The following is a 14250-nucleotide window of genomic DNA, read 5'->3' as shown; positions in this document are numbered from 1 at the left end:
CGGCAAGATTTGCAGAAATGGGGTTGGAAACCCCATAGGTTTTTCTAACAAGGTCTGAATAGACATTGGGAAGGGTGGGCTTAGGCACCAGAGGCAGCCAGGATTCCCGGTACTATTAGTGACCACATCTGTTAATTTTTTATTCCTCAACACAAAATAAAAACACACTAGTTATTTTCAACCTTTTTTTTTGTTTTTTTAGATACAGGATCTTGGCCTGTTGCCCAGGCCGGAGTGCAGTGATGCGATCATAGCTCACTGCAGCCTCGAACGTCTGGGCTCCAGCAATCCTCTTGAGTAGCTGAGACTGTAGGTGCCAGTCACTATGCCCGGCTCTAGGTACTGCCCTCCATGATATTTGCTCATTGAAAACCACACATTTTTCCATTTCATTGTCCTCTGTGCAGTTTGCGTCTCCTCAACTGCTGAAGACAGCCAGCTGGAGGGGTAGGGTAACCTCGAAACGATCAGTGACACCTTGGTCTTCCACTGCTAACATCTTATGCCTTTGCACTCTCACAGCTAACGGTGAAAACACCAACCTCCGTGGCACAATCATGGCTCACTGCCTTGAACTCCTGGATGTTCTGAGGAGTTCCCACTCATAATCCCATTATTCTCTTCCACTGGGCAGGGAAGCCTGTCAGTCAAGATAATCATTGGTTCCCACTCAACACAACCCACCAAGTTAAGAGAACCAGCCAAGTACATAAAAGGGAATGATGATGGTGATTGATGATAATGATGATGATGATAATTAATTATTAGTAGTAGTAGTATCACTAAAACTTACATAGTAATGCTTACTATGAATAGTTACTTTATATATTTCTGTCAGCAGAAATACTCATCCTTGCACCAACACCCATTGCAGAGGAGAGAGATGCCGGTGATGTGGTAACACCACGAGATCCACCCTCCACACCCTCCACTGCCTCTCTGGTCCCTGGGCTCCTGGCGCCTCCCCCTACCCTGTGGGATCTGAAAGATGTCCTTTGAAAATCACAGAACCTCACACTTGCTAAGGTCCCTTACAGGACTCTGATTCTGTGAGTCTGGAATTCTCACCCTAAAGCTGAGTTTCCTGGCCTCAGCATTAGTGACACCTGGGGCCAGATAATTCTTTGTTGTAAGAAACTGCCCTGTGCATTGTTAAGATCTTTAGTGGCAGTCCTGCTCTCTACCAACTAGACATCAATAGCACTCCCCGCTGCGATGACCAAAAATGTCTCCAGACTTGCCACATATCCCCTGGATGACAAAATCCACCTACCCCCTTGAAAACCACTGGCCTAGATTAACTTAAAATGCTGCTGAATGCCACACTCCATACCTTCAACAATTAGTCAACCTATAGGTTTTCTTCACTTCACTCTTTTTTTTTTTTTTTAAACAAAATATTTTCACTTGGCAATACCACCTTTGCTTCCCCTGTTCAGGGGATTTGTGAGTAAGTATTTTTTCACCCTCATCACGCTCTCCGGGATATTCGTTCACTGAAAACCACACATCTTTCCATTCAATTGTCCTTTATGCTGTTTGCATCTCCACAGCAGCTCAAGATATCCAGCTGGAAGGGCAGGGTAACCCCAAGCCTATCACTGACACCTTGGTCTTCCACTGCTAACATCTTGTGCCTTCGCACTCTCACAGCTAACAGTGAAAACACCAACCTCTGTGGCACAATCATGGTTCACTGCAGCCTTGAACTCCTGGGTGTTCCCAAGGAGTTCCCACTCATAATCCCGTTATTCTCTTCCACTGGGTCTGGAAGCCTGTCAGTCAAGAGAATCATGGTTCCCACTCAAAACAACCCATCAAGTGAAAAGAACAAGCCAAGAAGATAAAAGAGAATAATGATGGTGGTTGATGATGATGATGATGATAATTATTATAATTAGTAGGAGGAGTAGTAGTATCACTAAAATTTATATAGTAATGCTTACTTTCTATGAATTACTTTATATATATTCCAAGCATTTTGTAGACTAAAATTGTCAGGAAAAACTGTCCAAACTTAGGAATGGGTAGGAGATTCCTGGGTGTCTTTTAAGTGAGGTGCTGAGTATCATCTAGCAGACTCACTGGGGATACCTGTTTCTATAGAGTATGCATCTTTGATTAACTTTCTGTTGAGAAAGCTCTTTGCGACTTTGTAGGCAATTTCCTGTGGCAACTGTAAGAAATGACTACAAACTAGGTGGCTTAAAGCAGGGGACCCCAACCCCAGGGCCGCAGACAGGTACTGGTCTGCAGCCTGTTAGGAACCTGGCCACATAGCAGGAGGTGAGTGGTGGGCGAGCCAGCGAAGCTTCATCTGCATTTACAGCTGCTCCCCACCACTCCCATTACTGATTGAGCTCCACCTGCTGTCAGATCAGCAGCGGCATTAGATTCTTATGGACGCAGAAACCCTATTGTGAACTGTGCATGCGAGGGATCTAGGTTGCACGCTCCTTATGAGAATCTAATGCCTGATGATCTGTTACTGTCTCCCATCACCCCCAGAAGGGACCGTTTAGTTGCAGGAAAACAAGCTCAGGGCTCCCCCTGATTCTACATTATGGTGAGTTGTATAATTCTTTCATTATATATTACAATGTAATAATAATAAAAACAAAGTGTACAATCAATGGAATGTGCTTGAATCATCCCGAAATCATCCTCACCCTTGGTCTGTGGAAAAACTATCTTCCATGAAGCCAGTCCCTGGTGCCAACATGGTTGGGGACCACTGGCTTAAAGCAACAGAAATTGATTCTCTCACATTCTGGAGGCAAGAAGTCTGAAATCAGTTTCACTGGGGAACAAAATCAAGGTGTCAGCAGGATCATGTTCCCTCTGAATGCTCCAGGGGAGAGGCCATTCATTGCCTCTTCCAGCATCTGGTGGCTGCCGGCATTCCTTGGCTTGCGGCTGCATCCCTTCAGTCTCTGTCTCTGTGGTCACACCACCTTCTAATCTCCTGTCTGGGTCAAATCTTCCTCTGCCTCTCTCCTTCTAGGGCCACCTGGAAAATCCAGTATAATCTCCCCATCTGGAGACTGTTGTGGAGTGAATGAATCACAACTGTAAAGTCGTATTTTTGCCACATGAAGTAACATTCACAGGTTCTAGGATTGGAATGTGGGTATCTTGGGTGGAAGGCATTTTTCAGCCCATTGCTGTAGGGATAGCTGCAAAGTTGTAGGAAACTAACAGCACCGCAAATGACTCTTGTAATGATTTTTTTTCTGGTGGAGAATATACACCTCTGTAAGTTAAATTCTCATTTGAACTGGACTTAACACCTTATTGATTCTCCCATGAATTAATAAGTTGAATAAAATATGTTCCTCATTTTCATTTTATATTGAGGCATAATTTTACCTTTCTGGATGTTAGACTTTACTGATAGTAACTCATTCATGCTCACAACAAGCCTGTGACACAATGTCAGGGGCGTCCAAACCAGAGCAACTCCATCTTGAATAGGGGCTGGGTAAAATAAGGCTGAGACCTATTGGGCTGCATTGCCAGGAAGTGAGGCATTCTTAGTCACAGGATGAGATGGGAGGTGAGCACAAGATACAGGTCAAAAAAAATTTTGCTGATAAAACAGGCTGCGGTAAAGAAGCCTTGCCCAAATCCATGAAAACCAAGATGGTGGCAAAAGTGACGTCTGGTCATCCTCACAGCTCATTATATGCTAAATATAATGCATTAGCATGCTAAAGACATGCCCACCAGCACCATGACAGTTTACGAATGCCATGGCAATATCCAGAAGTTACCCTATATGGCTAAAGAGAGGAGAAACCCTCAGTTCCAGGAATTGCCCACCCCTTTCCTGGAAAACTCATAAGTAATCCACACCTTGTTTAGCATATAATCAAGAAATAACTATAAGTATCCTTAGTCCAGCAGCCCAAACTGCTACTCTGCCTATGGAGTAGCCATTCTTTATTCCTTTACTTTCTGAATAAACTTGCTTTTACTTTACTCCTTGGACTTGCACCGAATTCTTTCTTTTGTGAGATCCAAGAACCCTCTCTTGGGATCTGGATCGTGAACTTTTTCTGGTAACAATAAGCACTGATATTTGTCCCCATTTTACAGATTATAAAATTGAGTCCCTGACAGGTTAGGAGACTTGTCCAAAGTGTAAGGCAAAAATAAAAGCCTAGGCCACCCCACTGACTGAATGAAGCCCCTCTGGGCCAAAAGGACCCCAGAGAAACCTGAAACATTGGATTCCTGGCCATGAAGAGAAGAAAGGATGGACAAGCCTCATTATGCCCCACCCCTTTTGGAGTTTAGGCACAACTGACCAGCATTAACATTAAAATAGAGATCATAAGACTGAGAAAACAGACTCACTGTGGCAGTAAGATACCAAATTGCAACCTGACTCTGGTATAGTGTCACATGCCAGACCCTGAAGGAAATCCAAATGTTTTACCCCAAAATATATTGCTTTGACTTATTTTGAAATGGCTTTGCAAAGCTGTCTTTTCTGAGGAAAATGTGTATCTGCAGAGAATCTCTATTAAACCAACCAGGCCTTTACCAGGTCTAGAAGGGATTAGCTAAGAGTCTGACACTAAATTAAGGTCCGAAAAGAGATATTTAACATCTATTCTCTCTGAAGCCTGCCACCTGGAGGCTTCATCTACATAACAAGAACTTTGGTCTCCACAGCTCCCCTTTTCTTAACTCAAGCATTTCTTTCTACTGACTTCAAGTCTTTAGACAAAGCTTAACTCTTTTAACCAACTGACAATCAGAAAATCTTTGAATTCACCAATGGCCTCATACCAGCCCCAACTCCCTCACACTTCAAGATATCCTGCCTCTTTACGCTGAGCCAATGTATACTTTCCATGTACTGATTCATGATTTTACCTACAATTCTTGTCTCATAAATTGTATAAAGCCAACCTGTAACCTGACAACCTTGGGCACACTTTCTTGGGACCTCTCATTCCCCAGGTTATGGTCACTCATATTGGCTCAGAAGAAACCTCTTTCAAGACTTCACAGTTTGGGCTTTGTGGGGTTGGTTTTCGTTTTTGTTTTGGTCAACAAAGGTCACAAGGTCCTACATTTAAGAAGGATTATTTGGACTGAGGGTCCATTGTGCAACACTGTTATAATATGATATCCAGACTAAATGACTTTTTAATTTTTATTTATTTTAGTTTAGTTTAGTTTAGTTTAGTTTTTGAGACAAAGTCTCACTCTGTCCCCAGGCTGGAGGGCAGTGACACGATCTCGGCTCACTGAAACCTCTGCCTCCTGGGTTCCAGCAATTCTCCTGCCTCTGCCTCCCGACTAGCTGGGATTACAGGCGCACGCCATCACACCCAGCTAATTTTTTTATTTTAGTAGACACGGGGTTTCACCATGTTGGCCAGTATGGTCTTGACCTCTTGACCATTTGATCAGCCTGCCTTGGTCTCCCAAAGTGCCAGGATTACAGGCATGAGCCACCGCGCCCAGCCCTAAATAACTTTTAATGTCTCATTAAGCTAGCTTTGTCATTTGCTTCAGAAGTTCAGTAAACATCTTCCACAATAACCATTATGAGCTAAATGTTTGTGTCCCCTCCAAACTCTCATGTTGAAACCCTAACCTCCAATGTTATTCTCTCAATGGTTTTAGGAGGTGGAGCCTTCGGGAAGTGATGAGGTCATGAGGATGGAGTTCTCATGAGTGGGATCCATGCCTTAGAAAAGGGACCCTAGAGAGCTCTCTTGTCTCTTTCCACTATGTGATGATACAGGGAGAAGGGGCCATGTATTAACCGGGAAATGGGCCCTTGCCAGATGCTGAATCTGCCAGCACCTTGATGTTGGACTTCCCAGCCTCCAGAACTGTGGGAAATAAATTTTTGTTGTTTATAAGCCACCCGGTATATGTTATTTTGTTACAGCAGCCCAAAATGAGTAAGATAACAACCTACATTAAAAAAAAAAAAATGAGACACAGATTAGGCTTTCTGAGGGCAGACAGGATAATGTACCTGCTTAGGGAAATTTGGGTTATTTTTCTCCCAGTTCAGAACACAATCATGAAATGCAAATATTAGGATTCAGCCAATACACACATGCAAACTGAAAAACAAATATCTCTGATGGGAAAAAAATGGTCTTGGTTGTTTATAATCCTCAACTGCAAAGGATGGATTGCTGGAAGGCTCTTGTTTGCTAAAAGAGATTCTGAGCTTGAGAATTCAGACTGAAAAAGCTAAGAGATAACCTGCTTAGCATAAAAAAAGGAGAAGAGAAGGATCTAGGACAAGGAGGAGGAGGGGATAACCAGTGGCCCATGAGGACTTTGGAAGGTAGAATTAGGTCTGTGATTGCAATTTTGTTAAGTTTTACAGTGGCTTGTGACACAGCCTTCCCTAGGATCTCTTGCATTAATTGCCTATAGAATCTATTTTACACAAAATATGCTTTGTAGAGCCAAATATGGTTTTTGGTTTTTTTTGTTTTTTTTTTTTTTTGGAAAAAAAAAATGCTGAGCTCAGCCAGGTCCAGTGGCTCCTGCCTGTAATCTCAGCACTTTGGGAGGCTGAAGTAGGCGGATCCCCTGAGTCCAGCAGTTCGGAGACCAGCCTGGGCAACATGGGGAAACCCTTTCTCTACGACAAGTACAAAAATTAGCTGGATATGGTGGCACCTGTCTGTAGTCCCAGCTACTTGGGAGGCTGAGATGAGAGAATCACTTGAGCCTGGAGCCTGAAGTTGCAGTCAGCCAAGATCACATTGCTGCACTCCAGCCTGGACAATAGAGTGAGACACTGGGGAAAAGAAAAAAAACAAAAACAGAAAAAAGAGGAAAAAAAATGCTGAGCTCTACTTTTAGAAGAATGCAGGCTAAGAAGAAAGGATGTCCACAGGGCTGCCGTCACATTTGGGTCACACATAATTCCATTTTAAAACTACATGTATACTTTTCAAAATGTGCCAAGGATTAACTGTGGTTTGGGGAATCAGATGGGCAAGATTCCAGTATATTACTGCATCTCAAATTTAATGAATTTGCATGAAAAAGAGTTTTTAAAAAAGGACATAGGGAAAAGCAATGATCCCACTGTATTAAAAAAATCCAATAGCATTCAAAATATTATTCATATGCAAAACACCCACCCTCACTCTCTAAAATACAAAAATCAAACAGCTGACTTTGATTCCTAGTCACTTGTTTTTAGAACTTGAGGGTCCCCTGGGTGTCTTTGAATTAAGCACGTTCTCTGGTCTGTTCGTTTTCTGATTCATTTTAAATCCCTGCCTAGGTTGCAGTTTTTATATCACATCGTCTCCCTCCTTCCACTTGGATCAATCTTTTCATTTCTAAAAGTGAGCAGTTTACAAAGAGTTTTTCCTTTCTGAATCTGGGTCTGTGTATGAGTAATGGAAAGACCTAAACATCCTTTACACAGGAAGCACTGGGAAGAGGCATGACCGAAGCCAAGGACCTGTCGATTTCAAGTGCTCCGTTCAAGTTGGCTTCTGCTGTTTCTCCTCTGTACCACAGGAGATACCAGGAACCAACCCACCAACCAAACATCCTCCAAAACTTAAATATGTATTTAAGACACATTGTGTCTCTTACCTTTTATAATGTATCATTGCTGTTAATTTCTAACTGGACTACAACCTTATGTTTGCTTTTATTGTTGTTGTTGTTTTTTGAGAGGGAGTCTCGCTCTGTCTTCTAGGCTGCAGTGCAGTGGTGTGATCTTGGCTCACTGCAGCCTCTGCCTCCCAGGTTCAAGTGATTCTCATGCCTCAGCCACCTGAGTAGCTGGGATTATGGACATCTGCCACCATGCACGGCTACGTTTTTTATTTTTAGTAGAGACAGGGTTTCACCATGTTGGCTAGGCTGGTCTTGAACTCCTGACCTCAGGTTATCCGTCCGCCTCAGCCTCCCAAAGTGTTGGGATTATAGGCGTGAGCCACTGCACCTGGCCTGGACTACAATCTTAAATGTAAGGGTACTATATATCTTGAGACCAACATTTTAATCCAGTGAACAATATCTCTAATTGTGTGAAAAAGTCATATTTTCCTCTGGTCCCTGATGTCAGTCTTCAAAGAATGAGGGAATTACTAAATCCTATTCAATTAAGTTTAGCCTAAAGCTACCTCCTTACATATTTTAAATTCACCCTGAAGGTTTCTCTGTCCATAGTGAGCTGTAACAGAACTGGATGTATAAACAGATGGTCACCTACTCTTCTGCCAGTCACCGAGTTTTGGCCAATCAACAGTGGTCAAGTGTTCCAACCATGTTCAAATAAGGCAAGCGCTAAGCAATCTTCGTTTGTACCCAATCACGCTGTTTCTATACCTCACTTCCATTTTCTGTGTGTTATTTTCCTTTTTCTGTCCACAAATCTACTTCCACAATGCAGCTGCGACAGAGTCTCTCTGAACCTATTCTGGTTCAGGGGTTGCCCGGTTTGTAAATCGTTCTTTGCTCAGTTAAACTCTGTGTAATTTAATGTGTCGAAGGTTTTTCCGTGACCAGTCCTAGGCCACAGGAATACTGTTAATTCACAAATGAGGAATTTGAGGGTTATAAAGTTTAAATAACTTGCACACGGTGACACAGCAGAGCCATCATTTGAACTCAGATCTTTGGGACTCCAGAACTTTCTTTTACACCATTACCTATCCCTTCTCTTCAGCAACAATGACTTCCTTGCAGTCATTGGCCTTCCACCTTAGAACCTTCACATACCCCACCCTTTCCTGAAGCCAGAACACCTTCCCTCCTCTGCTGTGCCTTCACTTACCGGACTCCTATATACACCATATCTCCACTCCAACCACCTTCTCCCAACACCGTGCTCTCTACCATCAGAGCACGCATGTCACTTTGTCATTGTGAGCTCATCAGTTTAAGGATGTGATAAACGTTTCTGTCCCCCACCAATCTCTGAGCTCCTTCCAGAGGCAAGAGCTTCTGTTGGGATTTATGATCATGACCCTGAACTCAACAAATAATAAGAGTTTAACAAATTTTTTATTGAGCAAATAGATGAATGAATGAATGCATTATACTCTACAAGAAGAAGGAATGAAAGAACAAAAGCAGTCCCAGATGGAGAACCTAAAATGCACCGTGTAGCACCAGACACCATCGCAAACACCCAGGTCAAGATGGGAGGAGCCTAGGGCCGGGCACAGTGGCTCACACCTGTAATCCCAGCACTTTGGGAGGCCTAGGTAGCAGGATCACCTGAGGTCAGGAGTTTGAGATCATCCTGGCTAACATGGTGAAACTATGGCTCTACTAAAAACAAAAAAATTAGCCAGGCATGGTGGTGGGCATCCATAATCCCAGCTGCTCAGGAGGCTGAGGCAGGACAATCACTTGAACCTGGGAGATGGAGGCTGCAGTGATCCGAGGTGGCACCACTGCACTCCAGCCTGGGCAACAGAATGAGACTCTGTCTCCAATTAAAAAAAATAATAAATAAAATAAAATAAAAAGATGGGAGGAGTTTGGGCCAGTGGGATTTTGGGCAATCTCATCTATCATATGAAGAATGCCCTAGAAAAGACTGGGTGTGATGGCTCCTACCTGTAATCCCAGCACTTTGGGAGGATGATACAGGAGGATTGCTTCAGGCAAGGAGCTGGAGACCAGCCTGGGCAATAAAGTGAGACTCTATCTCTACAAGAAAATTTTAAAAACTAGCCAGGTGTGGTGGTGAGCATCTGCAGTCCCAACTACACTATAGACTGCGGCAGGAGGATGACTTGAGCCCAGGAGTTTGAGGCTGCAGTGAGGTACAGTCACGCCTTTGCACTCCAGCCTGGGTGACAGAGCAAGACCCTGTCTCTAAAATTTAAGAAATTAAAATAACGAGAAAAGAATGCCCTAGACCATACCATAGTCTTTCCCACATGCATTCATAAAATCCAGGTGCAAGGCCTGGCTGGTGTAGAGGTTCTCACCCAGGATGCCCGTGTAATTTTGGCAGTCTATGGAGACACTAGCCAATACACCTTGGCTCTGAGACCCCTTGATCCCCACCACAGCTGTCATCCATGGACAGTTTTCCTGGATTTGAAATTCAGGTTTCCCTGCAGATTTTGAGGGTTTTTTTGTTTGTTTTTTTTTGCCTTTCCATGTTCCCTGTTGTCTAGAGCAGAACTCCATGCATAAGTCTCAGGCCCTCAGAGTCCCAAACCTTCCTTCTGGGACGAAGCTGGTAGCTCAGCAGCCAAAGTCCTGCCATGAGGAAGGGGTCAGATAAGCAGGATTCACATGCAGAAATTACTCCAAATGTCATTTTTTTTTTTTGGTAAGAACACATGTCACAGAAAGTGAGATGTTCCTAACTTTGAAAAATAAGACTCCTTGCTTTTGCAATTGTCCCTTGAAGACCACAATCTCCCAGGCATGACTTTGCCCCACTCCCCTGAAGTAGCCCAATTGTTTTTAAATAGTCATGTTTCGGTAGTACAGACAACTGATATTTACTCCATCTCCTGTGAGCCTGATGGGCATAAAACCATATTTGGAAAACACAGCTGAATCTATTGATCTATAACATGGTATACATTGCATGAAAATGAAACAGAGACATGTGGCCTGGCCTCACTTCCTTCCAACCAGAGAGCTGTCCCTAGGTTCCTCCTTTGTAGATATCCCAGAGCTACGACTGCTGTGTCTCCAAGAAATGTTCCCAGGCATAACTTGAAAGAGGAACTAGACTTAGGGAAAAGACAAAGCAGGGGTCAGTGCTTCTACTAAGCAACCTTGAGATAAAAGAAGCTATTTAGGAACTTCATTCCCACCAATGTCAGAGGCCATGAAGAAAATCGTAAATCAAAAATTACCCAAGACATGTCTTAATCAGTTTAGAGGTTTGTTTTGCCCAGGTTAAGGGCCATGGCCCGTGACAGCCTCAGGAGGTCTTGAGCACATGTGCCCAAGGTGGAGGGGTTACAGCCACCTTGGGCACATGGTTTTATGCATTTTAGGGAGAGATAAGTTACAGGCAAAAACATAAATCACTGTATGGAAGGTATACATTGATTCATCCCAGAAAGGTGGGACATCTCAAAACGGGTGTTTCCAGGTTGTAGATGGATTCGTAGATTTCTTGATTGGCAATCTGTTAAAAGAGCTAAATTTTGTCTGCGGAGTTTCAAGTCAGCATAAAGAAATGCTTGAGTCAAGATGAGGACTGTGGAAGCCAAAGCTCTTGTTATGTAGATGAAGCCTCCAGGTAGCAGGCATCAGAGAGAATAGATGGTAAATATCTCTCTTTGGACCACAAAAAGTGTCAGACTCTCCAGGAAAGACCTAGGAAGGGAAGGGAATTCTCTACAGAATGCAAATTTCCCCCACAAGAAACAGCTTTGCAGAGACATTTCAAAATATGTCAGAGAAATACATTTTTGGGTAAAACACTTTGATTTCTTTCCAGGTCTGCTCTCTGTCATGTGATACTATACCAGAGTGAAGTTGGAAGTTGGTACCTTATTGCTACAAAGAGTCTGTTTTGTCAGTCTTATGATCTCTATTTTAACACCAATGCTGGTCATTTGTATCTACACTCCAAGGGAGAGGGTACAATGAGGCATATCTGACCCCTCAACTTCCAGTCATGGTCTGAACTAGTTTTTCAGGTTTCCTTGGGATACCCTTGGCCAAGAGGGTGGTCCATTTAGTCAGCAGGAGGACTTTTATTTTTGATTTGCAAAATCAAAATATTTCCCCAAAGTACGTGACTTTGATGTATTTTGAAACGGCCACTGCAGGGTCAGCTGACAGAAGTGGCCTTGCAAAGCTATCTTTTGTGGCGGAAATTTGCATCTGTAAAGAATCTCCATTCATGCAGCCAGGCCTTCCCTTTCTAGACCTTTCCTAGATCCAGGAGAGATTGAGAGTCTGACACCTTTAAAAGTCTGAAAAGAGATATTTAACATCCATTCTCTCTGAGGGCTGCTACCATGTGAGACTTCATCTACATAACAAGGCCACCTTTGCTAGCCAAGCCTCTTTCTTTCTCCCGCCACCATAAACTGTCCTTCCAATAAAAGCTGACTTACCACCATAACCTGTTTTTGGCCATGCATCCTTTCTATAACCTCAAGACAGTATATAAGCTTCGGAACCTCGTTGGTGGATTGGCTCTCCACTCTGAAGGCTCCCATGTATACATGTTAAATAAATCTGTATGCCTTTTCCATGAATCTGCCTCTTGTGAGTTGATTTTTCAATCAACTTTCAGAGGGGCCAAAGGTTTGGACACAGTAGGAGGAGATCGGGCTGGGAGGGAAGCTTCCGCCACATTCTTCTGTGGCTTCCCATGCAGTTATCCTGGAGAGATCAAAGTCTATAGAAACACGCATGTAGAAAATTACATTTGGCAACGTCTTGCTCAAGAGAGTGATGCTTAAGTAGGTTGAATAAAGTTATCATAAAGCTTTTCTTCTTTAAATTATGTTGTGTAACAGTGGAGGGGAGCTTAGCATGACTGACTCTATTTTGCCTCTGACACCCCCCAAAGGGTGATATCTTTTAGGTTAACTACTTTTGCTTATCTCTGCACGTAGGCTGAGCTAACTAGGGAAGGAATTTAGTTTATATTTAACTTTAAAGTAAGGACAGTAGTCCCTTCCCAAAATTAGCCCCTGAGGAGATAAGGAGGGTATACCCACAAGTAAGCATGTTATGTGAAACATTTATAGGAGCATTGTGATCTGACCAAGGAAAAAGAATTTTCACAACATCCTTGTACCCTTGCTGCCACCTAGATGTCTGTGGCCATTGGTCACCTCTTGATCTCAACCCCTTTTCTCTTCCCCTTTCCCCTAGCATAAAAGGAGCCCTATTAACTTAAGGCTCATATTAACTTAAGTTCGTATTAAGATGGTTCTTTAGAATGCTAGTCCACCATCTTCTCAGTTTGCTGGATCTCCAAAATAAATTTGTCTTCCTTGCCCCAACACCTTGTCTCTTTACTTATTGGCTGTCCTGCACTGAGCAGTGCAAGTTTGAACTCAGCTGCAATTGTAACTCTGGAACTAATGTGTATTGAGGATGCTGGGGAGAACAAGACTAGACAAGGGAAACAGACAAAAGAGAAAGCAGTCTCTTCTCATGTCTGTCTCTCCTCAGCCCCAGAGCACCAAGGTTTTTGGAGTCTTGATCCTGTCCACGGACCAAGTGGGGAGCCTGAGACTAGCAACATGGAAGGATTATCAACTGGCATTCAAACCCGTGCCCTTTCTGTTTGTCAAAGGAAACAGGAAAGAATGAAAAGATCACTTTCCCAGCAAATATCTGTGGTCTAAAGGTTGTGCTGAGGGAGGGAAGATGGGGGGACAGTATGACAGCTTCTTTCTGTTTCAGGGGAGTCCCAAAAGAGAGCCTTTCCCCAACCCCACTCTTGTTGAGAGGTTGGGTTCATCAAAGCTGCAAAGGGGAAGGGGACCAGGAGCGTGTTCTTGGCAAAGATGCTCTCCTTGACCAATCCTTGGTTAGGCTCCTCTGATCCCACTTATCTACTAGGCCTTGAACTTGGCCTTCTGTGTCTGTCCATGCCAAGTCCAGTTTTAGTAAGAATCCTGCAAAATCAGGTTTGAGAAAATCCCCTAATTTGATACCTGATCAAGTTCAACACCCCATACCCTTGCTGTCTGAGCCCTTGGCCTGCCTTTAGCAAGAATCCTGTTAGGTCCATTTAACAAGAATCCCCCACGCTTAATGTCTCTTATTAGTAGTCTTCCACCCACTGACACTGAAACCATCCCAATAGGGTTGAAAAGACTTGGAGGTTGGGTTCGGAACAGAAATATAGTTATAATTAAGTGTCAGAGGCATTCGAATCAGAGCAACTCCATCTTGAATAGGGGCTGGGTGAAATAAGGCTGAGACCTACTGGCTGCATTCCCAGGAGGTCAGGCCTCCTAGTCACAGGATGAGATAAGGGATGGGCACAAGATACAGGTCACAAAGACCTTGCTGATAAAACGGGTTGCAGTAAAGAAGCCTGCCAAATCCCACCAAAACCAAGATGGCAATGAAAGTGACGTCTGGTTGTCCTCACTGCTCATTATATGCTAACTATAATGCATTAGCATGCTAAGAGACACTCCTACCAGCTCCATGACAGTTTACAAATGCCATGGCAATGCCCGGAAGTTACCCTATGTGGTCTAAAAAGGGGAGGAACCCTCAGTTCTGGGAATTGCCTACCCCTTTCCCAGAAAACTCATGAGTAATTCACCC

The 14250-nt window shown here is 43.5% G+C and overlaps 1 protein-coding gene across 4 annotated transcripts in view, besides 3 other annotated features; it reads right to left on the bottom strand.

Annotated features, from left to right (window-relative positions):
- GALNT17 (polypeptide N-acetylgalactosaminyltransferase 17) overlaps positions 1-14250 on the bottom strand; it is a 581456-nt gene that overhangs the window by 235710 nt on the left and 331496 nt on the right. The window lies entirely within an intron of this gene.
- Positions 2418-3297: an enhancer, noted in NCBI's record as "H3K27ac hESC enhancer chr7:70939578-70940457 (GRCh37/hg19 assembly coordinates)". NCBI's record gives its function as "activates a minimal SCP1, AML or CMV promoter by ChIP-STARR-seq in primed H9 embryonic stem cells {active_cell/tissue: H9 hESC(primed)}" and the evidence as "EXISTENCE:reporter gene assay evidence [ECO:0000049][PMID:30033119]".
- Positions 11308-12194: an enhancer, noted in NCBI's record as "OCT4-NANOG-H3K27ac hESC enhancer chr7:70930681-70931567 (GRCh37/hg19 assembly coordinates)". NCBI's record gives its function as "activates a minimal SCP1, AML or CMV promoter by ChIP-STARR-seq in naive and primed H9 embryonic stem cells {active_cell/tissue: H9 hESC(naive and primed)}" and the evidence as "EXISTENCE:reporter gene assay evidence [ECO:0000049][PMID:30033119]".
- Positions 12195-13082: an enhancer, noted in NCBI's record as "OCT4-NANOG-H3K27ac hESC enhancer chr7:70929793-70930680 (GRCh37/hg19 assembly coordinates)". NCBI's record gives its function as "activates a minimal SCP1, AML or CMV promoter by ChIP-STARR-seq in naive H9 embryonic stem cells {active_cell/tissue: H9 hESC(naive)}" and the evidence as "EXISTENCE:reporter gene assay evidence [ECO:0000049][PMID:30033119]".

The sequence above is a fragment of the Homo sapiens genome, chromosome 7 (genome assembly GCF_000001405.40).
Source record: "Homo sapiens chromosome 7, GRCh38.p14 Primary Assembly".
In the NCBI taxonomy this organism is placed as follows: domain Eukaryota; kingdom Metazoa; phylum Chordata; class Mammalia; order Primates; family Hominidae; genus Homo; species Homo sapiens.
Note: the sequence above shows the minus strand (reverse complement) of the source record. Positions and strands in the feature narration are given on the sequence as shown.